The sequence below is a fragment of the Homo sapiens genome, chromosome 8 (assembly GCF_000001405.40).
Source record: "Homo sapiens chromosome 8, GRCh38.p14 Primary Assembly".
Lineage (NCBI taxonomy): Eukaryota > Metazoa > Chordata > Mammalia > Primates > Hominidae > Homo > Homo sapiens.
In genome coordinates this window covers 142,364,721-142,389,498 of record NC_000008.11, presented here as the reverse complement: position 1 = coordinate 142,389,498, position 24,778 = coordinate 142,364,721, and the positions used below count along the sequence as shown (strand labels likewise).

Below are 24,778 nucleotides of genomic sequence, written 5' to 3'. Positions count from 1 at the left end.
TTAAGTGTGATATATGTGCAGGATAAATGTTCAGAACAAGTGCTGGGTCAATAAGGGTACACACTTTTGTAATTTTGATGTACATTGCCAAATTATCCTGTAACCCCATTTATTTCCACTTTTATTGCCTTTGCTTTTGGGGTCATATTAAAAAAATCATTGCCCAGACTGACGTTGTGGAGCTTTTGCTCCCTTTTCTTCTAGTTGTTTTATGGTTTTAGGACTAAATGGTTGTCTTTAATCCATTTTGAGTTGATTCTTGTATATGGTGTGAGATGTGTCCACTGTTATTCTTCTGTATCTAGAGAAGCAGTTTTCCCAGCATCATTTATTGAGAGACTGTCCTTTTCTCATTGTGAATTCTTGGAACCATTGTCTAAAATCATTTGACCATGAATGAGTGGATTTATTTCTGGGCTCTCTATCCTGTTTCGTTAGGCTGTTTGTCTGTTTTTATGTCATCACCATGCTGTTTTGATTACTGTAGCTTTGTGGTATGTTTTGAGTCAGGTGTTCTTTATCCTCAGAAATTTTATCCCTTTTATTGTTGTTCCAAGGAATATTTTCTTCTTTATTTATCACATATGTGTGTGAATACTATTGCATTCTAAATATTAATTTTGGGCCAGGCACAGTGGCTCATGCCTGTAATCCCAGCACTTTGGGAGGCCGGGGCAGACAGATCACCTGGCTGAGGTCAGGCGTTTGAGACCAGGAGTTTGAGACCAGCCTGGCCAACATGGCAAAACCCCGTCTCTACTAAAAATACAAAAACTAGCTGGGCATGGTGGCGTGTGCCTGTAATCCCAGCTACTCAGGAGGCTGAGTCAAGAGAATGATTTGAACCTGCGAGGTGGAGGTTGCAGTGAGCTGAGATCCTCCCACTGCATTCCAGCTTGGGTGACAGAGCGAGACTCTGTCTCAAAAAAAAAAAAAAAAAAAAAAAAAGATTTTGTTTTTTGCTAACTTACTGATTTCTTCTTTTTTTTTTTTTTTTAGTTCATTATCTTGGGTTTTCAAGGTATCCATTCATGTGAACTGCAAATAGTGATGGTTAACCTTATCCTTTCCAATTTTATACTCTAGTTTCTTTCTCTTACCTATTTTTGTGGACTAGATCCTTCAGCATGATGGTAGCTAATGGTGTTTTTAGTAGACACCTATTAGGAATGTCTCTGCTGTTAACTCCATAAAGCAGAGTATGGCTTTGGATTGAGAAAGGTATGTTAATGAAAAACCTGTACTTTCTATTTTATTTCATGTTTTCTTTTTTAAAAAATCAAGAATCATTATTGAATTTTGTCAGTTGCTTTTTTAAAAAATCATCTATGGGGTGATCATATGATTTTTTTCTTAAGACATATTAATATAGTGAATTATACAAACGAAGTTGCTAATAATGAAAGATTCTTAAATTCCTTGATTATACTTCACTTGCTCTGATACATAATTCTTTTAAGGTGCTGGTGAATGTACTTTTTGCTGATATTTAATTGATTTTTATGTATTGCTCTTCATAATTAAGGTTGGTCTGTAGTTTTCTTTTGTATGTACACTGTTTTTGGTTGTGATATCAACATTATAGTTGCTTCATAAACATAATATAGAAGTTATATTTCTTATGCCATTCTCTGGAATAGTTTAATAGCACTGAATTGCCTGGTCTCTAAAGAGTGGTTAGATTCCTTTGTGAAATTGTTGGGACCTGGTGCTTTTTTGTTTTGTTTTCGTTTTGAGGATGAAAGTTCTTTTATGATTTTGTCTTTATTATTTTCCCTATGGAAATTACTCTGTTTGAACTTTCTGGGATCAGTTTTGTAAATATTTTCCCAAATGATTATCAATTTCATCCTGTTTGTCAAATTTATTCATGTAGGCTTGAGTAAAATGATCTTCTGTGACTCTTTTAATATCTTTGGTTTCTGCGGTTATTTCCGTCTCGGTTGCTTCTCTTGTTTTTCTTGGTTAGGTTAGTGAATAGTTTCCATTTTATTGTTTTATTTTTTCTTCCAAGATTCAGCTTTTGAATTTTTAAATTAAATTAATTGCCTTATTTCTCTGCTTTTTAAACTCCCTTGTTTTTGCTAATAATAATCCCTTCTGATTTTCCTCAGTTTATCTTATCGTTTTTCTAAATGTCTGGTGTGAATGCTTGATTCATTTTTTATTATTCTTTTCAAACTTATTTTGTATTCGAGGGCTGATGCCTAAGTTTTGATGAGACATATTTTCCTTATCATTGCTGTTTAGAAGTTCTGCAATTTTGGTTTGTATTTTCTTTTTGGTTCGAGAGTTTTTCAGGAGCAAGTTTTAAAATTTCCAAGTAACAAGTCTTTTAATTTCCTGATTTTGTTACTATTCCAGTTTTAATTGCATTTTGGTGAGAGAATATTGACTATTCCCTCTTGAACTTCTGGGTTTCGGGAGGTTTCTTATGTTCCTAATTTGGAGTCAGTTTTCATCATTGTTCCACTGAGGCTGGAAAAGAGGATTGAGTTTTTGTTTTGGGTTACGGAAGTTTGATGTGTATATCAATCACTTTTACCGCCTTAGTTGTGTTATTTAGGTCATGTATAATCCTTACTTAGTTTCTGTCTCTTGCTCTGTTGTGGACTGAGAGGAGTGAATTAATGTCTACCATTGATATGTTTCTGTCTGTTTCTCCTTGTGGCTCCTGTGAGTGTTGGCTGCTATGTGATTTGTTGCGTAGCTATTTATAACTATTACATTTTTATTCTCAAGTGCATTCATTAGGATCAAAGTGCCCTTCTTTGTCTCATTTCTACTTGTCTGACTATAAGGTCATAACTAGTGCTTTCTTGAGTTTGTATCTGCTTGGCATACCTTTGCCCATTACAAAATTTTAACTCTACCGAATTATTTTAAATGTGTCTCTTATACCATGTGAAGTTAGATTTTGCCTTGTAATTCAATTGGGGAATCTTTTTTTTTTCTTGCCTAGTGAAGTTAAACTAATGTACATTTATTGATAGGTAACCTACATTTGACCTGAGTGGTGGTGTGCTTTGTGTGTGCATGTATTGTTAAGTCTTTTACTCTGTGGTCCATTTTCTTTCCTTTTTAAAAATTTTAAAGAGTTCTTATATTGAAGAGAGTCTATACTTTTGTCTATATGAGATATTATAGTATCTTATGTAATTCATAAATGCCTCTAATACTTCATGTTGAGAGGGACCATTTATTAAGTACCTTCTGTGATAGCCAGAATAATGTTCTCCCATTTCCCCAGATAGCCACACTCTAATCCCTAACACCTGTGATCATGTCATGTTACATGGCAAAAGGGTCTTTGCAGATGTGATTAAAGGGTATGGATCTCAAAGTAGATTGATTATCCTGGATTACCTGGGAAGGCTGAATTATCTGAGTCCTGAAAAGCAGAGAGCATTCTCTGGCAAGAAATGAGAGCTATGTGGTGAAGGAGGATGTTAGAGAGGTCCCAAGAGTGAGAAGGATTTGCTGGCCCCTAGATGCAAGGACTCTAGGGGCTAAGAGTGGTCCCCTGCCAGGAAGGAAACAGGGCCTCAGTCCTGTAGCCACAGGGACCTGGATTCTTCCTGCAATCCGAGTTATTTTCCCAGTCTCCAAGTAGGAACATGGCCCAGCTGGACTTCTGACCTACAGAAGCTGTGAAAGAGCAAATTTGTCTGTTTTAAGCAGCTACATTTGTGGTGATTTGATATGGCAGTCATTGGAAACTAGTACACCTTCTATGAGTAATTACAAAATGAATGTATTTTGTTTTCTTCCTCCCATCACCAATTTTTGATGACAATAGTACCTTTCTCAGTGTTTGCCTTTATACTATTAAATCTACTTGTATTTCTGTTACTGAAATGTCAGCTTTAAATGATATCCTTTGACTCCAGTTCTTACTAATAAGGTGAGGAGCTAATTGTTCTACCTCACTCCCTCTTGTCGTATTCCCCTCCCAGGTGTCATCAGTTGAGTCATTACTCCATAGTCAGGGCTTATCTGCATTCTGTTCTGTCACCCCAAGCTCACATTTGTTTTAGTCTTAAATCTACTGGTAAATATATTAATAGTTCATGCTCATTGACAGTCGTTTTGACGGCATCTCCTCTGTCAGCTTTTGATTGGCTGAGGTTTGTTTTGAAGGTGTTTTTTTCAGAATGGTGGGTGGGAACAGTCCCTAAGTGCTGCATATTCAAAGCTGTGGCTTCTTGGCTTGCGGGGTGGTTTGAATGTTGCTGGAGCCCTTGGTTTGGGCTGCCATCCTTTCAGGGTCTTGGAGGTGTCACTGTATTGTCTTTTGACCTCGAGTGTTGTTTCAGAGGAATCTGTGGCCTGGCTGGTTTTTCCTCCCTTTATAAGTGCCTGCCTGCCTGCCTTCCTCCCTCCCTCCCTCTCTTCCTTCCTTTCTCTCTCTCTCTTTCTCTCACCTCATTTCATTCGCTTTTCTCTCACCTCATTTAATTCGCTTTTCTTGTCTCTATCATGTGTGATACTTTTAAAATCAGATTTTTTGTTGTTGTTGAGTTGTAGGAATTCTTTACTTATTGTGGATGTTAATCCCTCAAGAGACACGTGACTGGCACATATTTTCTCCCATGTTGTGAGTGGCCTTTGCAGTCTGTTGATAGTGTACTTTCATGTACAAAAGTTTTTAATTTTGATAAAATCCCATCTATTTTTTTCTTTTCTTGTCTGTGCTTTTGGTGTCTGTCATAGCTAAGAAATCATTGCCAAATCCAACATCATGCATGTTTTCCTTTATGTTTTCTTGTAAGAGTTTTAATAATTTTAGCTTTTACTTTTAGGCTTTTGATACATTTCACGATAATTTTTGTGTGTGGTTTAAGGTGAGGATCCAACTTCATTCTTTTGCGTGGGGCTATCCAGTCTTTCCAGCACCATTTGTTGAAAAGATGATCCTTTTCTCACTGAATAGTCTTAGCATGCTTGTTGATGATCATATCACCATGTATACACCAGGGCTTATTTCTGGGCTCTTTATTCTATTCTTTGGGTCTATATATCTGATTTCATGCCCTACCATACTGTTTTGATTACTGTAGCTTTGTAGCGTGTTTTGAAATCAGGAAGAATGTGGCCTCCAAATTTTTCTTTTTCAAGATTATTTTGGCTATTGGGTTTTATTTCATTTTAGAATGTGTTAGTTTTTTTCTGGGCCAGCTTCTTGTAAGAGTCCTTGCAGCTTCCTTCTCAGAGAGGCAGGGGATGGGGATGTAGGGGATACAGTAGCTTTCCAGAGGCCCTTTCCTTCTCCTGCAGCCCTGCCACGGAGGCAGACTGCACATGTGGCTCTCTTAGTGACTCCGTGTATGGTCCCTACTCTGCTGCTTGGGTCTGTCGACTGTTCAGGAGGCTCCTGACGCCAGCCCTTCTCACCCGGTTCTGTTGCTGGTGGTGTGACAAAGAAAGGCGTTTGAGTTCTGGGTCAGTGGCCATGCTCAGGGAACATGTTTCTGCAGGTGCTGCACTGCACCCCTTCTACCGCCAGTGCTGCTTCACTCCCTCCTGTGTGGGCCCTGCCTGCCCTCTCTGTTCTTGGTCATAGCCCTCACTTGTGCTTTAGGGCCTATAGATTGTATTTATTTCCTGTTTTTTCTAAACGTGAAGCTTGGATTTTCAAACTTTTTGTTAATTTGGTAGCAGTGGTGGGGGCATTCTCCTTGTTGTTTTAAGGTGAGTTCTAGAAGGAAATAGGAAAAATATGTACGTAGCCATACTTAACACTCGAGGTCAGTTTCCTCACCTTGATAACCTCCTAGGGTTGTGAACATTGAAAAAGGAAATGTTCCAGTGCCTCTTTTGGTGGCTGCACACAGTAGGCACTTAGCAAATACGTGTCCACACTCCTGCCCCCTGCCGTGACAGTAGGGCCTCCAGCTCTGGCAGGTGCTGAGCTTGAGGCTGGGAGAGGGAAGACCCCATGAGGCTTTAGTGGGTGTGGACTAGGCTGGTGGGGGCAGCTTGCCGTCTGTGGCTCTCAGCACCACGGACAGCGCCTGGCCAGCTGTGCTTGGGGCCTCCCACAGAGGATGGCTGTCTGGCATTTGCACTCTGTCCTGGGTGTGCTTGGGGCCTCCCACAGAGGATGGCTGTCTGGCATTTGCACTCTGTACTGGGTGGTGCCTTGTCTCTGGGCCCTGAAGTGGCAGCATCCTGTTCTCTGACCACACGTCTTACCCAGCCTCTGTGCCCTGCCCTGGCCTGTCTTTCTCCAGCTCTCTCTCAGCTGCTGCTGACCAGCCTGACCCTGGGTTGTTCTCCACGCACACTGACCCCTGGTTCTCCTGTCTCCCCTCCCTTAGGTCCTGTGGCCTATGACTCCACCCCTGTTTCTGAGGCTGCCTGTAGGAAAACCACCTGCATGACGGGGCTCTTCTTGGTCCCAGGCAGGGCTAGGGCCAGCCTTTCCCTGTCCTGTTGTGGGTCCCTGTGCCCTTCTCCAGAGAGGGTCCCCACCTTCTCTTGAGGCCCCTTTCCTGCCCCCCTGCCCTCCTTTCCCCCCAGACCCTGCTCGGCTGGGGCTGTGCTTCCAGCACAGTGGTGAAGAGCCTGCACTTCGGGCCCTCACCGCCTGCTGCCTGCTGCCTCCACCCTGGACGAGGGCCGGGCCCACTCCGTGGTTGATCTCCAACTCTGTGATCTGTGGAAGGACAGAAAAGTGCCTTCCGCACAGACCTGGGAGCTCACTGAAGTGACGGCCACTGGCCCTAGGCAGGGCCTACCGGGCCCCTTCTCTCCTGGAAAGCTGGCCTCTGGTGAAGTGAACAGCTTTCCTCTGGAGTGAAATGTGCCTGAGTGGATGGGGCCCATGGGTCCCCTCCTCCTTATGGCCTGAAGGTGACAGTGGGTGGCTCTGCTTCTCCTGGCCACCCCATGGCCAGACCTTCTCTCTGCCAGGAGGTCCCTGCCTGAGGGCACAGCATGACTCTTGGGCTGTGTGCAGCTGCGTGCAGGGGTGCTCCCTGCCCCCTGCCCGCATGACTCAGGCGCTGGCATCTTGCTGTTTGTTGCTGCCATCCCGAGCAGAAGGGACTGGCGGGCAGTGCCGGCAGCTGGTCAGTGGGCAGAGGCCGGCCTCCCGGGGAATGATGGAGGTTGGGAGGGAGAAAGAGGATGTGTGTTGCTGGTGTTCTGACCGCCCATTTGTGCCGTTAGCGATCGGTGCTTCTCCACCGCTGATTCTGGGCGTGGTCTACGAGGTGCCTGGGGGTGCCCGGCTGGCATTCTGCTTGACGTGGAGTTGAAGTTGCTATAACAACACTGATTCATGTAACTGCAGCTCCCCAGCTGGGCCCTCCTCCTCCTCTGGCTCTCTGTCGCACACATGAGCACACACGCTCACACATGCCACTCGGATGCCCATGCGCAGGGGCCCCATTCCACACGGAGGCTGCACAGGGCTGATGCTGGCAGGGGCGCGTGGGCCTGGGAACGGCCAGGCCTCCTCCACCGAGCATCTGGCCTGTGTGTAGGGGGGGTGTCAGGTACCCGTCAGAGGAGGAGGTGGCGGCCTGCTCACCGAGGGGAGGACTGGGCAGCGTCTGAGAGTGGGTGCGGGCATGAGCCGTGGCTGTGACTCAGTGTCTCCCACACGCAGGATGAGCTGCGGCACCCGCGGGCGCTGCCTGTTCCCAATGCCAAGGCAGGCAGGGCTTGTCTTCTGCTCCATTAGGGGCTGGCCCAGGACGCCGAGCTGCGGGGAGGTGACGATGCTTGCCCAGGTCATCTGGGGTTGGGGACTTGCTTACAGCCTGGGGCTGACACTCCCACTGAAGGAAACTGGAAGACTCTGTGGTTTGCCCCACGTGGCTCCTCCTCGTTTAGGTGTGTGGCTCCCCTGGGTGCTGCCCTTCTCCTGCCTCACTCCAGACCCCTCAGCACTGCTGGGCGCCTGCCTCTGCTTCTGGGGTCTCCCAGAAAGGGCGCTGAGCTCCAAGACACACTCCTGCCTGTGCCACCGTCCCTGAGCCCACCCTGACCTCCACCCTTGTGCTTGGTGGGGTGGGGGGGGGCGCTGATAGGTTTTAGCAAGGGGAGAGCCCATTGGGTGCTGGAAGGGGGAGGCCGGAGGCTCCCCCAGCACTGACAGGAGTGCGTTGGGCAGCTCACTTCCCTGGACACCTGCTGCCCGGCCGTGGGGTTTAGCCATTCATCCTGGGACCATCACAGAGTGGGCAGGTGCTGGCCATATGGAGGTGGCTGAGACATGGCCTTGGGCTGCCCATGGCCCGACAGGGACCTGGGCTGGGTGGATGCTGTGGAGACAGGAGTTTCCCTGGTGCTCCAAGGTCAAGGGACAAGGGTGGGCAGGATTCCCAGGGGAGCAGCTTCTGGCACTGATTCTGAAGATGATTTGGAGCCCAGCAGTTGGGCCAGGGCAAGGCCCTGACGGCCCTGATTGGCTGCTGAGGCCTGGGAAGCTGTGTGCCTGCTTTGAGTCTGCAGTGCTGGGACTGAGGCTGGAGCCAGGGACTTGCTGTGGGTGATGCTGGGAGGCCAGCTGTGCAGGTGTGTGTGCAGGTGCATGTGTGTGTGGGGGGTGAGGGCGAGGAGAGAAGGGCAATGGAAGATTTTGCAGCATTCCCCCCCCTTTATTATTTCTTAAAAGGACTTTATCTCACTTTCCTAAGATAGTACTCGTTCCTTGTAGAAAACTCAGACCACGCCTGTCAGCAGGTGGTGTCGGTGGCATCCGCCGTGGGCCGTCCCTGGTGGCCACTCAGACTTTCCTGGAGCGTTTTCTCCTTGCAGTCTTTTTTCCGTTACGGGTATTTTACCAACTTTCAGCCTCACCACACAGCTTGTTTCCACACTTGCTGTTTCCCCGTGAGGGAGGCAGGACTGTCCTCTGGGCAGGGGACAGAGGGAGGGGCTCTGCAGGGAGCCTACAGTCTGGCTGGGGAGCCCCATGGAGGGGCTGCTGTGAGAAGTGGGGTGGCCTGGGCTAGATGAGTGCAGGGGTGGGGGCGGGGTCAGGATGCAGCGTGATAGGGGCACATTGCCTCAGGGTCTGTCCCCTCTGCCCTCCATGCAGTTCAGCCCGCAGGAGGCTCCACGATGCCATGAGCCTGTCCTGGGCCCACAGAGCCCCAGGTGAGTGTCCCAGCTGCGTCCTCCCTGCTCTGTGGCCTGCTGCTGCTGTGTCCGGTGGTGCCCGGAAGGAGGAAGGGGCCGTTGGCCATGGGTGGGACCCCGGGCTCTGCATCCATCTGCGGAGGGCAAGGCCCGGCCTCCCCATGGACGTGCTGCAGGCTCTCCTTGTTCTTTCATCTGTGTCTCCGTTTCTGTCCTGTGGAGTTGTTGGGAGGTGGGAATGAGTTCAGTGCTTAGGACAGTGCCTGGTGACGTGGTACGCCCTGGACAAAGCTTGGCCTTGGTGTCCACCCACCTCCCCACTCTTATTGTTGTTGTTGTGACCTGGAACTCCCAGCGCAGATTTGGCAGTGGGGAGTGTGCGAGACCCACATGTTCTCCTGCCCTCTCCCTCCAGTGTCAGTTCTCTCCTCTGCTGGGGGCAGCGGCACAAGAAGGCCCTTCAGACCCTGGGGAGAGGGGGATTAGATGCTTCCTTTCCCTCAGGGACCACAGAACCCTGCTTGGGATAAGAGCCTGCTGAAGGCTGTAGATCTAGGCAGATTTGGGTGGGTGGCACTGGGGCATCCCCTGGCCCTGCCAGGCCTATGTCAGCAGCCTGGAGCCCTGGAGGCTGAGGCAGCCCTGGCCCCACCCGTAAAGCTGGAGCCCTGAGCTGGGGCCCTACACCTGACTTGGGGGCTTGGGCGGAGCACTGGGGGCTGCGTCTGTCTGGTGGGGTCTCTCTTCTCCTTTGTGTGGTCTCGCGCCTCCCCGTCAGGCAGAGAAGGGCTTTCAAGGGTGTGGAAGTACCTGTGGCACGTTGAACCCTGAAAACTGAATTAGGAAACGAAGGTGTAAGGACAAGTGGGCCTCCCCGCCCCGTTCCCCATCGTGCCCCTGGCAGGAGTGGTGTTGGCCGTGTTTGTTTTAGAAGTTGTGAAACCACTCTCCCTTTTCCCAGACAAGCACCTCTGGGCAAGCGTAGCCCCTCGGCCAGCGTGCGGCTCATCCCCCTGCTGGCTGGCCCCAGACATGAGCGCAGCACGAGTGCAGAGCTGCTGCTCACTGGGAGGGCGAGGTTGGGGGCATTTGAGTCTGGGGGTTAGGAGGAGAGGCAGCCCCTGGAGGCTTACTCAGAGGTGTGGTGCCTACTCCGTGACGGACGGTCTGTCCTTGCTGGCAGCGGCCCGCTGAGGCATGCCCACTATACAGATGAGGAGACTGACGCATTTGAGGCCGCATCTGCTGCTGAGGCGCTGACGTGGGGTGGGAGGACATGTGTGAGCTGCTCTGATCCGTGCTGATCTGCTGCGGGCTTGGTCCTCTGCTCTGAGAGTCCTCTGCAAAGGGATGCTGCTAGCCTAGTCCTCCCAAGGCTGGCATGATAGCCGCATCCAGGGAGCTATGAGAGTGCCCTGTGAGCTTGGCGACCACAGAGCCTGCTGGTGGGAAGGGTGTCTGCCTGGGCCAGCCCTGGGTGTTGAAGGGTGCGCCACCCGGGGCCTCAGAGGAGCTCACACTCAGAGGCTGCCGTGGAACCAAGGGTGCTGGGCCTGCGGTGGGCTGTTGGCAACACACCCGTGCCCGTTGGAGCACCTAACACGCCCGTGCGCCTTGAAGGACCTCTGGGCGGTAGCTTACTGGCTCCCTGAGGCCCACCAGGAGCAGCTACTGAGGTTGTCTCCTTGTTACCTCTGGGCAACCCCTAATCTATCTTCTGGCTCTGTGGATTTGTGGGTTCTGAGCGTTTCCTGTAAATGACCTTGGATGACACGTGGTGCTTTGGGACTGGCTTCTTACCCTGAGCGGTGGATTCAAGGCTCATGCCTGCTGTCACATCTGGGAGAACTTTACTCTCGGCTTTGTAATAGATCTCCTTCTGGTCTTTTTGCTGTGCAAGTGCGCAAACTTCAAGCGTGTATAATTAACACACAGTAGGACACACAGCTCCCCAGTGTTCCGTGTGATGAGTTTTGATGGCTGTCTTTGCTCGTGCCACGAAGGTGATCTTCCACCCCAAGAGAGTCCCTTGTGCCCCTCCCATGCCTTTCTGAGTTCTGTCACCACATGCGACTTTTGCCTGTTCTAGAATTTTCTGTAAATGGTATCACACAGCATGACTCTCTTTGGCCTGGCTGCTTTTGCTTTCCTGAACTGTGGGTGTGGCGTCCGCGCCTTCTCCCTTGTGATGCTGAGCGGTGTTCCCGTGTGTGGACAGACCAGGGTTTGTCCTGTGTCCTGGGCTGTTTGGGGCAATCGGCACAAGGCTGCTCTGACCATGGTGTACGGGGTCTTGGGGCTGCGCCTTTCCAGCATGTAAGTGCTTGGGGGTGTCAGTGGCTGGATCAGGGACTGCTGCGTCTTGATATCAGAAAGGACCGCATAGTTCACCGCGCGGATCCCTGTGTGGGATGGCTGTGTGACGCATGCACATGCAGCCCATCCACTTCGGCATCTCTGAGCACTTACCCACATCACTAAAGACACGTGTATAGACCCTGGTTAGAGATGCTGCATATTATATAAATGAGTAGCATGGTTTGTTATTTATTTATTACTGAGTCTTTAGGACGTTTCCAGCTACTTGATTTTTGTTTCCAGTGCTTCCAGCTTCTGGTAGTTTCTGTCTGGATTCCTTGGAGCAGAGCTCTGGGGGTGCAGTGAAGAGGGGTCCCTCTGCATGATCATTTTGCAGGGGCCTGTGCTGCTTCGCACCCCCACAAGCTGTGTCTGAGGCTGGGGTCCCTGCCGTTCCCCCAGTTATGCACCAGCACTAACCCGATGGCAGGTGCTGGCATCCTCTGGCTGGGAGCAGCCTTCCTGCGATTCTTGGGTTATTTGTCATGCTGCTGGGGCGCTCGCCTGCCTTCCTGCACGCTGCCCTGACTTAGTTCATGTTATGTCTGAATGTTTTAAAAATGAATTTGTAGGAGGGCCTTATTTATTGAGGGTAGCAGCCTTTGTCATGTTTGTTGCAAATATGTTGTCACTTTATCTTTTGCCTTTTAATTTTGCCTATGTTGCATTTTAACTTATAGAAGCTTTTTTTTTTTTAGTATGCTGCCAAGTCTGTGTTCGTGTGTGTGGATAACGTTGCTTTTGTATTTGGTAGATGTTTTCTTTGGGGCTGTCTTAATGTTTTACTTTTGATTTGTAAGTGATGTAGCCCTTTAGTCTATCTGGGATAGATCTTGGGTAATTGATGAGATGAAGAGCTGGAGTATGTTTTGTCCCAAGTCACCTGCTGGTTTCTGGGCTGCTGGATGAGGAGTGTCTGCGGAGAACATGAGGGGACGTGCTCTTGGAGGGATGGGCTCTGAGGGTGCTGCCATGTCCCCCGTTGACGGGGGGAGGTGGCAGGGTGGGCACAGCAGAGAGATGGGACAGGAGGGCAGGCCTGAGGTGTGGGGCTCTGCCAGTAGCTGCCCTCTGCTTCCTGTGTGACTCAGGAGTGCTTCCCTCTCTTCCTGAGCCCAGGGTCCTGTGTGGCTCTCCCTGCTCTGCCCAGGTTCTGCTGATCAGCCTGAAGCTGTTGGCCTAGGGGAAGGGCAAGGAAGGGCTGGCCTCTCTGCGGGGTGTCCACTGATGGCTCGGCACACGCTTCCCTGGCACTCCAGGCCCCGGGTCTGCCACTCGGGGTTACAGCCCCCATGCCCGGGCCCTGGGAGTCCCGTGTCTGGGTGGGCTCTCCAGCTGGCCTTGTCTCTCTGCCTGACACCTTCTCCAGGCCATGGAGCTTCTCAGTCCATTCAGGCTGGTGAACAAATACCATGAACTGGCTGGTGACAGACACTCATTTCCCATCACTCTGAAGGCTACAAGTCTGAGATCAGAGTGCCAGCAGGGGTGGTTCTGGGGGGCCCTCTTCTGGGTTGCAGGCCGCTGACGTCTTGCTGTGCCCACACATGGTGGAAAGACGGCCGGAGCTCTCTCAGGGGTCCATTTGACAAGGGCACTCATCCCACTGATGAGGGCTTTGTCTCATGACCTGTTCACCACCCAAATGCCTCACCTGCTAACGCCATCGCCTTAGAGGCAGGATTTCAAAGTGGGAACTTGCAGAGGACACGAACATTCAGACCACAGCAGGGTTCACTGGGCCCCAGGGTCGCCCTTGCGGTTCTCAAGTTCCCCTCAGGGGAAAACAGGGCACCAAGACACATGTGGAGTCTCACTGCGTGAGACACACCCTTGTCCCTTTCTCACCCGTTCAGTAGCCCTGCGGGGTGCAAATTGCTCCTGCACTTTGGATTATGTGGATAGACTCAGAGAGATGGAGCGATTCTCTGAAGGTTGCACGCAGGTCAGGGAGGCGCGGACTCTGCAGTCTGCAGTGTCCACCGACTCTGCTGGGACCATGTTTTCCGTATGTTTATAGCGGCTGGTCCGACTTGTGAAGTGTCCAGCACAGGGGCCTCTGTTGTACCCATGGACCTGGAGGGGCAGCCAGATCTAGGAGGCCCTGCCCGCTGCTTTTGCCCACCCTCTTCCTCTCTCCTTACACCCTGCAGGCGTCCACACATCTCTATCAGTTGGAACCCCAGCCTGGGCCTGTGCTGGAAGCTGGAGCCTCATGGGAGCCAGCCAGGCCTGGGAGCAAGCAGGCTCTTGCTGCTAGGAAGCCGCATCTTCTGGGCCTCAGTTGCCATGACTGGGGGTCTCTGTGCGGGGAGTTTGGCCCAGCAGCTGAGTGCTGGTGGCATCACAGGCAGGATTTCATTTTCATTGAACCACTTGCTTTGCTAATTGAAGGGTCAGACCTTTGAGAGAGCATGCAGTGTGCACTGTGGTGAGCTGGATGGCGGACTTCACCGGGAGGTGCACCGAAGGCTGCCCAGTGGGCTGAGCATTCAGGAAGCTGCTGCCAGGCCTGCCTGGCGGGTCCCCTTGGAGCCGAGGAAGCTGGCGCCCAGCCCCAGGGCATGTCCTGCCAGTGCCTGCCCTGCCAGGGCCTGCGCCATCCTCTGCCAGCCCAGCTTCCTTTCCCTGCAGAGACTTAGGGACACACCCGCACTGCTCTGACCACCACGTGTGGCGCTCCTCACCTGCTACCCGCCCTCCCCCGGGGCACCGCTCCACTGCTGCTCTCTGTCCAGCACAGGCCAGGCCCTGGGTGTGCACCCCTGTCCTCAAGGGGCCACATGCAGTTGTCCGCTGTGGGTGCCGGGAGCAGCTGGGAGACTGCCCCATTCTCACGGGCACCCAGAAGCAGATGTGTGGCTTGTCCCTTGCTGTACCCCAGTGTTTAGGACAGGACCGGCACGTGGCAGGCTTGGAGTGTACTGTGACCAATGGGGCCACCCCTGTGTGAGACCCACTTCTGTTTCTTCTGGTTGGGTACTGTGGTCGAGTACTGTGGTTGAGGTGTGGTGACCCTAAATTTGGGTCTTTCCAGCAAGCCTGTCTCCTCCCTGGGGAAAGGGGACAGGAACTAATGGTGCTTGGGCACCTGCCTGGCGCCGGGTCCCTGGCGGGTTCTGTCAAATGTGGATTGGTTTGGTAGCAGCAGTTGGATGTGTGTGGGGTCTTCCCAGGGCAGCCCGAGGCCAGCGCCTGTTCCCCAGGCTGAGCTGAGTCTCTCCTTCCTCCGCCCCAGCCCCTCCCTGCCCCCACTAGTTTCCAGAGCCTTCTCAGAGCCTCCTTCCCCTTTTCAGATGGTCTTTGTTTGAGAAAACTCTCCAGGGGCCATAATTCATGCATTTCCCACTTTTTTTTTTTTTTTTTTTGAGACAGCGTCTCACTCTGTCGCCCAGGCTGGAATGCAGTGGCCCAATCTTGGCTCACTGCAACCTCCGCCTCTGGGTTTCATGCCATTCTCCTAACTCAGCTTCCCGAGTAGCCTGGGACTACAGGCGCCCGCCATCACGCCTGGCTAATTTTTTTGTATTTTTAGTAGAGACGGGGTTTCACCATGTTAGCCAGGATGGTGTCAATCTCCTGACCTCGTGATCCGCCTACCTCGGCCTCCCAAAGTGCTGGGATTACAGGCGTGAGCCACCGCACCCAGCCGCATTTCCCACTTCTAAAGTGATTTGCCTGGAAGCCAAGTCCCCAGTGAGTGAACTGAAGTCTTTTTTTTTTTCTTTTTCTTTTGTTTTTTTGAGACTAGGTCTCGCTCTGTCTCCCATGCTGTAGTGCAATGGCATAATCTCGGCTCACTGCAACCTCCGCCTCCCTGGGTTCAAGCGATTCTCCTGCCTCAGCCTCCCCAGTAGCTGGGATTACAGGTGTGGGCCACCACGCCTGGCTAACTTTTGTATTTTTAGTAGAGACGGGGTTTCACCATGTTGCCCAGGCTGGTCTCGAACTCCTGACCTCAAGTGATCTGGCTGCTTCAGCCTCTCAAAGTGCTGAGATTACAGGCATGAGCCATGTCGCCTGGCCTGAACTTTAGTCTTTTAATTTTTTTCCTCACTGACGCCTCCTGGAGACTTCCCCTTTGCTCCACACACACAGTGTATTACCTGGAGCCTGAGGTGTTTCTTCTTGTTGATGTTTTAATCCCCTGGGTGTGCCGCTGGCTGTGCTCTGAGCCCTTCCTCCCTGGCCGTCCCTCTCCCCGCTTCCCCGCTCCCCTGCCTAGCTCCCTCTCCTGTGTGTGCCTGCTTGCCTCTGCCTGGAGTGGGTAAGGCTGTCTTCTTGGATCCCGGAGGTCTAGGTCTCGCCCTGATGGGCAGCAGGCAGGTCTCTGGTGGTTTTCTGTGCTCGGCCCTTCCTTGCCTGACTCACTTTCTCTCTCCTGTGGCAGGTCCCTGTGTCAGAGGTAGAAGGAGGGGTGGGGGTGGGGGCGTCACAGAGAGCAGGGGCCAGCGTCCATCAGCTGTAGGATGGTGGTGTGGTCTCAGGGTCCCATGGAGCTCGTGGGCCTGCCGGGCTTTCTTCCTGAAGGATGGCAGTGAACCCCTCTTGATGTTGTCTTTGATGCCTGTGTCCTGGTTTCTTGGGCCAGGTGGGGTATTGGCGGGAGTCTGGATTGGCCCTGCCATCCCGCTGCTGGCCTTCCCTGTGGGTGTTTTCCCAGCCTCCTCTCTCCCAGCCGCCAGTCAGGGTGAGACCTGGCTGGACCTTTGAGATCACCCAGCTGTCCTTTGAGGGTGGCAGCATGGCCGGGCCTGAACCCACTCCCATGGCCGTAGCCCAGGTTGCACCCTGCAGTACCTTCACAGACCAGATGGTTTTCTTCCTAAGGGAGTTGTGCCCAGCTCCAGGCTGGGCTCACATGCCTGCTGCCTGGTCCTGTGAGGCCTCCCTTCCTCTCTTTCTTCTCATGACACCCAGAGACAGAGGCTGAGGGAGACACAGACACAGTCCGAGAGAGAGACCCACTCAGGGGTCTCAGCAGACAGGTGACGGGGGAGGCCTAGGACAGGCTGAGGGGTAGGATGGAGGGACAGAGGGAGGGAGTGGAGCAAGAAAAAGCGTCCAGAAATCAGGGGCAGGGGCTTGGCCAAGAGGCCACAGAGGAGGCCTGTGGGAGTCTGCTGGGAGAGGCACAGCAGGGAAGGAAACAGCACTGGTGGGGTGGCCTTCTCAGGAGGAGGCCTGGGGGAGTCTGCTGGGAGAGGCACAGCAGGGAAGGAAACAACACTGGTGGGGTGACCTTCTCAAGAGGAGGCCTGGGGGAGTCTGCTGGGAGAGGCACAGCAGGGAAGGAAATGGCACTGGTGGGGTGGCCTTCTCAGGAGGAGGCCCTTGGGGATGTTCCGGGTCCTTCTGCGTATGTGAGCTCAGCTCATCCTCCAGCATTGCTAAGACCATTTCATGGAGGAGGGGCACAGAGGCTCGGGAATGTGCCAGGGGTGCCCCCAGGCAGGAGCCCCTTTGCCCCTGCTGCTCACATGAGGGGTGAGGGAAGCCAGCACCCCCGCTCCACCCCGCAGCCTCTGTCTGTCCCTGGGGCCCAGTTTCTCTTCTCATCCTTCCAAAGCCAGTGTGCCCACTCTTAAAGAGGGGGTCCATCCTGTGGCTGCTGTAAGGCTGACATTCATGGTTGTACTCCGTGTCCCAGCCTCTCCAGCTCTTCCCTTCCCTTCTCCCTCCCACTCATCCTTCGCTGGTTTTCTCTCATTCTTTCAGCAAATGGTTGTGGGGCTCCTCCCACTCTGCTGCCAGATGCCAGGTCCCAGGAGCTGAGGCTGCAGTGAACATGCCCAGGGCCCATCCTCTGTCTGTCGTGCTGCGGACCTGCGGGGTCAGGCTCCCGTGGTGGGTCTTTCAGTCCTAGCCTCTCCCCTGAGATCAGATCCTGTGTTCAGTTGCCCATACTGTGTTTTCAGTGAGGTGGCTTCTCAAGGTTAATGTCTGCCAAGCAGAATTCAGAATCCACCACCTCCTCTCACAGCCTTCGTCTCCTTGGTTGATGGCAACCCTGTTCTTCCATTTGCTTAAACCAGAATCACCACACATTTCCTGGAAAGGGCCAGACTGTAAATATGTTGGTGTTCTCCGGCTTTAGAGTGTCTGTTGCAGCTACCCAGCTCTGCCCCATGGTACAAAAGCAGCCCATAGACAACTCATGGATGAATGGGCGTGGCTGTGTGCCAGCAAAGCTTTACTGCAGATGAGGCAGAGTGCCTGTGGGTTGTTGTTTGCCAACCCTCAGCTTAGGCTAAAAATTTGTATTCATACTCTTTTTTTTAAGAGTTGGCGTTTAGCTCACGTATGGTAAGAGACACATACCTTAAGTATACAGCCTGACAAATTGTTGCAGGTGTATCCACCCCTGGAACCACCACCTCGATACAGAAACAGAGTGTTTCCAACGCCTGCAAGTTGCCTTTGTGCTCCTTTACAGCCCGATACCTCCTCACAAGGGTGACTGTGATCCTGGTTGCTGTCATGATTAATGAGTGTTGTCTGGTTGTTTTTGTGATGTCAGCCTTATTGAAGTATAATTTATATACAATAAAATTTACTCTTTTAAGTGTGCAGTGAATTTTGATGAATTTGTACAGTCGTGCATCACCACTGTCGTCAAGACACCGGACATTTTCACCGCCCAGGATGTTTTCTCCTGCCCCCTGCAGTCCATCCCTATGGCCGACCCCTAGCCCCTGGCAGCCATTCACCCGACTTTGCTTCCTGCAGGGTTTTTTTTCCCCCTTCATGGAAGAGTTTATGTATTTGGTATTCTTTAAATGTTTGATAGAATTTGCTCTGAAGCCTCTAGGCCTGGAGTTTTTGTTAATGGAAGGTTTTTAACTATCAGTTCAATGTGTATTTAATAGATACAAGGCTGTTCAGGGTTGCGTCCTTCAAGGAATTTGTTGATTTCATCTAGGTTGTTGAATTTATGGGCATAAAGTTGTTAGTAATATTCCCTCCTTATTCTTTGAATGTCTGTAGGATCTGAAATGATGTCCTCTTGTACCTGTGAGAAACAGCCTTGGCAGCTGAAGTGTAGTGTTTTTATACAGTCCCTTTTGCTTTAGTCTGACATTTCCAGTCAGAATGCTGTTTTCCGAAGGTAGTTAGGTCAGCAGCTTTTTTTCTCTACTTCATTTTTGAAGATATTTTCACTGGGTATAGAATTCTGGCTTGCAGGTTTTTTTTTTTTTGTTTTTTGTTTTCCCTCCCAGCACTTTAAAGATGTCACTCCATTGTCTTCTGGCTTGCATGATTTCTGAAGGAAAGTCAGCTGTAATTCTTTTCTTCATTTCTTTGCATGCAGTCTGTATTCTTTCTTTGTCAGCTTCAAGATTTTTTAACCTTTGGTTTTCATCAGGTTGAGTATGATATTTCTATGTGCTTTTCACCTTCTTTTTTATTTAGTATTTATTTTCTGTAGTGTTCTCTGAGCTTTTTGTTGTTGTTGGGTTTTGTTGTTGCTGTTGTTTTTGAGACAGGATCTCACTCTGTCCCCCAGGCTGGAGTGCGGTGGTGCTTGGCTCACTGTGATCTCAAACTCCTGGGCGCAAGTGATCCTCCCACCTCAGCCTGCCGAGTAGCTGGGCACATATCATTGTGCCCAACGAATGTTTAAATTTATTTTTTATTTTTTGTAGAGATGGAGTCTCACTTTGTTGGCCAGGCTGGTCTTGAACTTCTGGCCTCAAGTGATGTTCCTGCCTTGGCCTTCCAAAGTGCTGGGATTACAGGCATGAGCCACCATACCTGGCCTCTCTGGGCCTTTTGGGTCTGTGGGATGATACTGTCTCAGTTTGTTGAGGCTGCTATAGCAGAATACCATAGATGGCAGAAATGTATTTCTCACAGTTCTCAAGGCTGCAAGTCCAGGATCAAGGTGCCAGCAGATTTGGTGTCCTGTGATGGCCTATGTCCTAGTTCCTAGATGGGGCCTTCTATCTGTGTCCTCACGTGGCAGAAGGGTGAAGGGTCTTTCTGGGGTCTTATTTATAAGGGCACTGATCCAATTCATGAGCGCTCCACCTCCATGATCTCATTACCTCCTAAAAGGCCCTCCTCCTAACACCATCATGTTGGGGGTTAGATTCCAACCTTGGAAAACACATTCAGTCTAGAGTGAATGCCTTTCATTCTTTCTGGAAAATTCTCTGCCACTGTTCTCTCTCTCTTCACCTTCTGGGATTCCAGTTAAACATTTGCTGGGACGTTTGATAACGTCTGGTAGGTGCTTGTCTTTTGTTTTCTTTTTTCACTTTTTTCTCTGTGTTTTGGTTTGGGTAATTTCAGGTTGACTGACTTTTCCCTCCTGGCTGTGTTGAGTGTATGGCAGAGCTCCAGAAGCTTCTTCATTTCCATCTGGTGTTTCTAATTGTTGGCATTTCCCTGCGACCTCCTGTTAGTTTCCATTTCTCTGCTGAGCTTCCCCACTGCTCATGCATTTTGTCCATCTTTTCTACTGGGACCTTTCACATAGAAGCCATAGTTATTTTAAATTCCTTGATGGTTCTGACCTCTCCTCAGTCTGGCTCTGCTGATTGTCTTGTTACTTGACAGTGGTTTGCTTTTTCTAATGTTCTTGTGTGTCTTGTACTTTTTGATTGATTTGATTGATTTTGACTTCAATTATAGGACTGCAGACTGAGATAAATAATATTTATGCTCAGAAATGGGCATGCCCCTTATGCTAGGCCATTTATGTGGGGTTGAGTCCAGCTGGTCAGGGGTTGCCCTGGATTCGGGTTTTGTTGCTGCTGTTTTTACCCTCAGTATATGACCTGGCTGCAGATTCCTCTGGAGCTACTTTGGGTTCAAGGTGGGTGGGTGTTCCTGCCCTACCCCCGGCAGTGTTGGGCTTCCTCCTGTGCTCATGCTGCAGATACAGAGGTGGTCTCTCCCCACACTGTTTCCCCTCCTGCAGCAGTAGCTGCGTCTGCTGGCTGTTGGAAGCCTGGCAGCCGGGTGGCGGTTGTCTCATTGCAGCCTCAGTCTCAGGCAGGCCTGGTCTGGGGAGCGGGGGTTTCACAGTGACCCTTCCCTCTCCCTGCGACAGTCAAACTCTGCTTGAGTCCTTTGCTGCTCTTTAGAGGAGAGTGTTTTCTGCCTCTCTTGCACTCCTGCAGTGGGCCCAGGAAGGTGCTCTGCCCCTTTTCCAGAGACATAAGGTGTTTTTTGACCCTTCCTTAGCCACTGTGGGTGTTCACAAATGCCCTGGGGCCACAGCACTCAGCCATTGCGGCCCTTATCCCATAGGCTTGGACTTTTATTCTTCAGGGGAGAGGGGCTTCCTGTCTTTGAGCTGCAGGGCCGCCCGTCTGCCGTCTGCTGGCACCTGCACCCCAGGGGTCCTGGCTTGTCCTGTGCTAGGCTTTCTCTTGAGCCCATGGAGAAGAGCTTGTGAGTGGATGTGGCCGCCCAGGTGGCTTCATTCTTCTTGTCTGCCTGGGTGGCCCCTGGGGTCTCCCGTCCTTTCTCTGCTGCAGAGACCAGTGCTCCCATCTTCTCTCCTGGGACTCTCTTGTCTTTCTTTAGGTTTCAGGCTACTCCATGGCCCTGACGCTTCAGCTGTCTGATGAGACAGGCCTTTTCGTATTGTTAGGTTCGGGCAGCACTCTCTCCAGCTTCCTAGTCATGGGCAGAAGGGGAACTCTCCGAACCAGTATAAATTTCACTTCTCTAGTTATGAGTCAGCTTGAACAATCTTTTCACATGTTTAAGCACCAGTTTTATATCCTGTGTGTGTAAATTTTCTGTTTGTGTCTTTTGCCTGTTTTTTTTGTTTGTTTCCCTGTAGTTTTTATGAGCTCTTTATATGTTAAGGATAATATTCGTCCTTTGGCATATGTTGCAAATCTTTTCTCCCTGCTTGTCTGTTGTCTTTCTGCGTTGCTTAGGGTACTTTTTTTTTTTAACCATGCAGAAGTTTTTTTTGTTTGTTCACTTGCTTTTATAAAAGCTGTGACATGTGTCAGTCTTCCCTTTTATAGTATTTTGATTTTGAGTCCTGCTTGGGAAACTTTTCCCTACATAGAGGTTAAAGGGGAATTCATTTTTTCTGCACATACTTTGATTGTTTTATCTTTTTTGTATTGATAGCCATGATCCATTTGGAGTGTATTCTTTTTATTATGTGAGGTATGAACCAATTTTTTTCCAAATGTCTAAGCAGGTGTCTCAGCACCATTTATGAACAAGTCCTTCTTTGATTTGTGATGCCGCATTTATCATAGACTAAATTTCCATGTGTACGTGGCTCTATTTTTAGACTTTCTTCCTCATTCCATTGGTCTATTTATATTTTCATGCACAGTTGTAGTTATAGAGGCTTTCTAGCATTTTTATAATAGCATTGTAATTCACATATCCTAAAGTTCACCGTTTTGAAGTGTATAATTAAGTGAATTTTAGTCTACTTACAGTGTTGTACATTCATTACTATCAAATGCCAGAATATCTCCATCACCCTGAAAAGAAAGCCCACATATATTAGCAGTCACTCCCTAGTCCCCCTCCCCCTCCCCCGCCCCGGCGTCCATCTGTCTGCTTTCTGTTTCTGTAGATTTGCGTCTTGCGGACCTCTCATGACAGTGGAATCAAACATGTGTGGTCTTTGGTGTCTGGCTCCTCTCTCCTAGCACGGTGCTTTCAGGATCCGTCCCTGTTGTAACGCACATCAGGACTTCACTCTCTAGGGTTCTGAAAGTCTGCAAGTGCGAGCCCATTTTGTTTAGCGTTTTCCCAGTTATTCTTGTGTCTTTGTTTTCTTAGATGAACTGCCTGTTGTTTTCCCATATGAACTGTCTGCCAACTTGTCCAGCTCCATAAAAACGCATGATGGTATTTTTATTGCGATAGGAAAACTGACGTCTTTGTGATACAGTCATTCTATTCAAGAACAAGGGATAGCTTTCTGTTTGATCACTTCTAGTTTTGTGAACTTTAAAATACTTTAAAGTCCCCTTGTAGAGATTTTTCCCATTTCATGTTAAATTTATTCCTAGGTATACTATATTTTTCGTTGCTATTGTAAATGGGTTTTTTCCTACCATGGCAGCCTCAGACTGGTTTCTGTATATGTGAAGGCTGTGGATTTCTGTATGTTAATTTTATATCCTGATACTTTACCAGAGTCTTTTATTGTTCAGATTTTAACATTGTTTTGCTAGGGTTTTCCAAGTATACTGTCATATCATTTACAAGGAGAGAGAATTTTGTTTCATTTCTTTTTTTGTTTTTAATGTCTTGTTGATTTCTTGTTTTAACTGCATTGGCTGACACCACCATAACAGTGTTGAATAGGACTGGAGATAGCTGGCACCTTTGTTTTCTTCTTGATCTTCGGGAATTGTTCCTAGTGTGATTTATTAAATAAGGTGCTCGTTTAGGATGAAAGGTTCTTTATTTTATCATTATAAGACAGCTTCTTGTGTTTTCATCAGGAATGAGCGTTCAACTCTGTTGATGCTGTTTTTAACATCTGTAGAGAAACTCACCAGCTTTTCCCTGTAGGTCTCTTAGGTTAATATGGTGTAGTGCACTGGTGAGTGTCCTCGTGTTGAGCTAGCCTTGCATTCCTGGGAAAAACAAGCAGAGGGGGTTTTGGATTTTATTTATTAGTGTTTTATTTAGTATTTTTGCATCAATATTTATAACATTCATTTGTAATTTTTTCTTTTTCTTGTTTTTAGACTAGGTTTATTAGGTTTTGGTGACATGGTTATACATGCTTCATAAAAGCAATCAGATTGGGAGGCCGAGACAGGCAGATCATGAGGTCAGGAGATCGAGACCATCTTGGCTAACATGGTGAAACCCCATCTCTACTAAAAATACAAAAAATTAGCCGGGCGTGGTGGTGGGTGCCTGTAGTCCCAGCTACTCGGGAGGCTGAGGCTGGAGAGTGGCATGAACCTGGGAGGCGGAGCTTACAGTGAGCTGAGATTGTGCCACTGCACTCCAGCCTGGTCAACAGCCTTCTCAAAAAAAAAAGAAAAAAAAGCAATCAGAAAAATCCTTCATTTTCAGTGTCCTGGGACAATTTTTGGCACATTGGAAATGTTCAGCCAAATTCCTCTACAAAACCATCAGCTGCTGTAGCTGCACAGTCTTGAGTGTTCCTGTCCATGAACATGGTAGGTCTCTTCACTCATTTACATGTTCTTCACTTTCTTTTAGTAATGTTTTGCACTTTTCAGTGCTTGCACCTTTTACAATTTATTCCTATGATTAAAAAATAATTTCCAGTGAGTTTTTATTTTAGGTTTAATTTAGGACTTTTGGACATAATTTTAGTTTTAAAGAAAAGTTGCCAGATTAACAGGAAAACTTGTTGTGTATATTTTGCCCAAATATCCCAAATGTTAACATGTCCCCTCATTTGGTTTATTCTTTGTTCCCCTCTCTCTCTCTGTGTGTGTGTGTGTGTGTGTGTGTGTGTGTGCGTGTGCATGTGTTTATGGATGGTTTTTCTCAGAACTACTTGATAGTGAGTTGCAGATGTGATGCTCCTTGATCCCCAAATACACAATGTGTATAGCTACACCACAGTGATCAAGATCAGGACATTGACATGGATACAATAGCTTCTCCATTCTAAAGGTTGTGTTCATATTCACAGGACAGACCTTTTGAGTTGTGTTCTTTTTAGCAAAACGTCCTTTTTAGTAACATGAAATCCCAGATCCTGTGTTGGTTTTAGTGATTGTCTCTTTAGCCTCCTTTTATTTCAGACAACACCTCAGTCTGCCTGTCTTTGATAACATTGACATTTTGAAGATGGCCGGTGAGTTCTTCTCAGTCTGAGTGTCTCTGCTGTTTCTCACAGTCACACACTTTGGGCAGGGAGATCATGGAAGTGGTGTTCTTCTCTGTGCATCGTGTCAGAGGGGTATGTGGTGCTGGCTTGTCCCATGGCTGATGATGCTGACTTAGATCATTTGATTAAGATGATGCCTACCAGACTTCTCTTATGTAAAGTTATTTTCTTACATTTTTAATTTATAAGTATCTCAGGGAAGATCCTTTGCAATTATGTAAATATCCTGTTATTCATCAAGCCTTCACACACTAGCTTTAACATCTGTTGGACATTCTTACCAGAATGAATGATTATCCTGTTGGTTGCTGGTTCCATCATTCCTTCCACAGTTATTAGCTGGCTTTCTACTCTAAAGAAAAGCTCTTCTTGTTTTTTTCTACTTATTCATCTATAACAGTGTGGACTCATAAATTTTTATTTTATTCAATGAATTACACAATTCTTATCATTATTTATTTTCATGCTCAGATTGTCCAGATTTGGCCAGGGACAGCCTTTTCAAGC

At 49.1% G+C, this 24,778-nt stretch overlaps 1 protein-coding gene across 36 annotated transcripts in view, besides 5 other annotated features; it reads left to right on the top strand.

Moving 5' to 3' along the window:
- Positions 1-24,778, top strand: part of TSNARE1 (t-SNARE domain containing 1) — a 194,950-nt gene that overhangs the window by 17,531 nt on the left and 152,641 nt on the right. The window lies entirely within an intron of this gene.
- Positions 12,048-12,622: an enhancer, noted in NCBI's record as "H3K27ac-H3K4me1 hESC enhancer chr8:143458238-143458812 (GRCh37/hg19 assembly coordinates)". NCBI's record gives its function as "activates a minimal SCP1, AML or CMV promoter by ChIP-STARR-seq in naive H9 embryonic stem cells {active_cell/tissue: H9 hESC(naive)}" and the evidence as "EXISTENCE:reporter gene assay evidence [ECO:0000049][PMID:30033119]".
- Positions 12,623-13,198: an enhancer, noted in NCBI's record as "H3K27ac-H3K4me1 hESC enhancer chr8:143457662-143458237 (GRCh37/hg19 assembly coordinates)". NCBI's record gives its function as "activates a minimal SCP1, AML or CMV promoter by ChIP-STARR-seq in naive H9 embryonic stem cells {active_cell/tissue: H9 hESC(naive)}" and the evidence as "EXISTENCE:reporter gene assay evidence [ECO:0000049][PMID:30033119]".
- Positions 13,261-13,310: an enhancer, noted in NCBI's record as "active region_28062". NCBI's record gives its function as "activates an Ori minimal core promoter by ATAC-STARR-seq in GM12878 lymphoblastoid cells {active_cell/tissue: GM12878}" and the evidence as "EXISTENCE:reporter gene assay evidence [ECO:0000049][PMID:35858748]".
- Positions 20,789-20,898: an enhancer, noted in NCBI's record as "active region_28061". NCBI's record gives its function as "activates an Ori minimal core promoter by ATAC-STARR-seq in GM12878 lymphoblastoid cells {active_cell/tissue: GM12878}" and the evidence as "EXISTENCE:reporter gene assay evidence [ECO:0000049][PMID:35858748]".
- Positions 20,929-21,048: an enhancer, noted in NCBI's record as "active region_28060". NCBI's record gives its function as "activates an Ori minimal core promoter by ATAC-STARR-seq in GM12878 lymphoblastoid cells {active_cell/tissue: GM12878}" and the evidence as "EXISTENCE:reporter gene assay evidence [ECO:0000049][PMID:35858748]".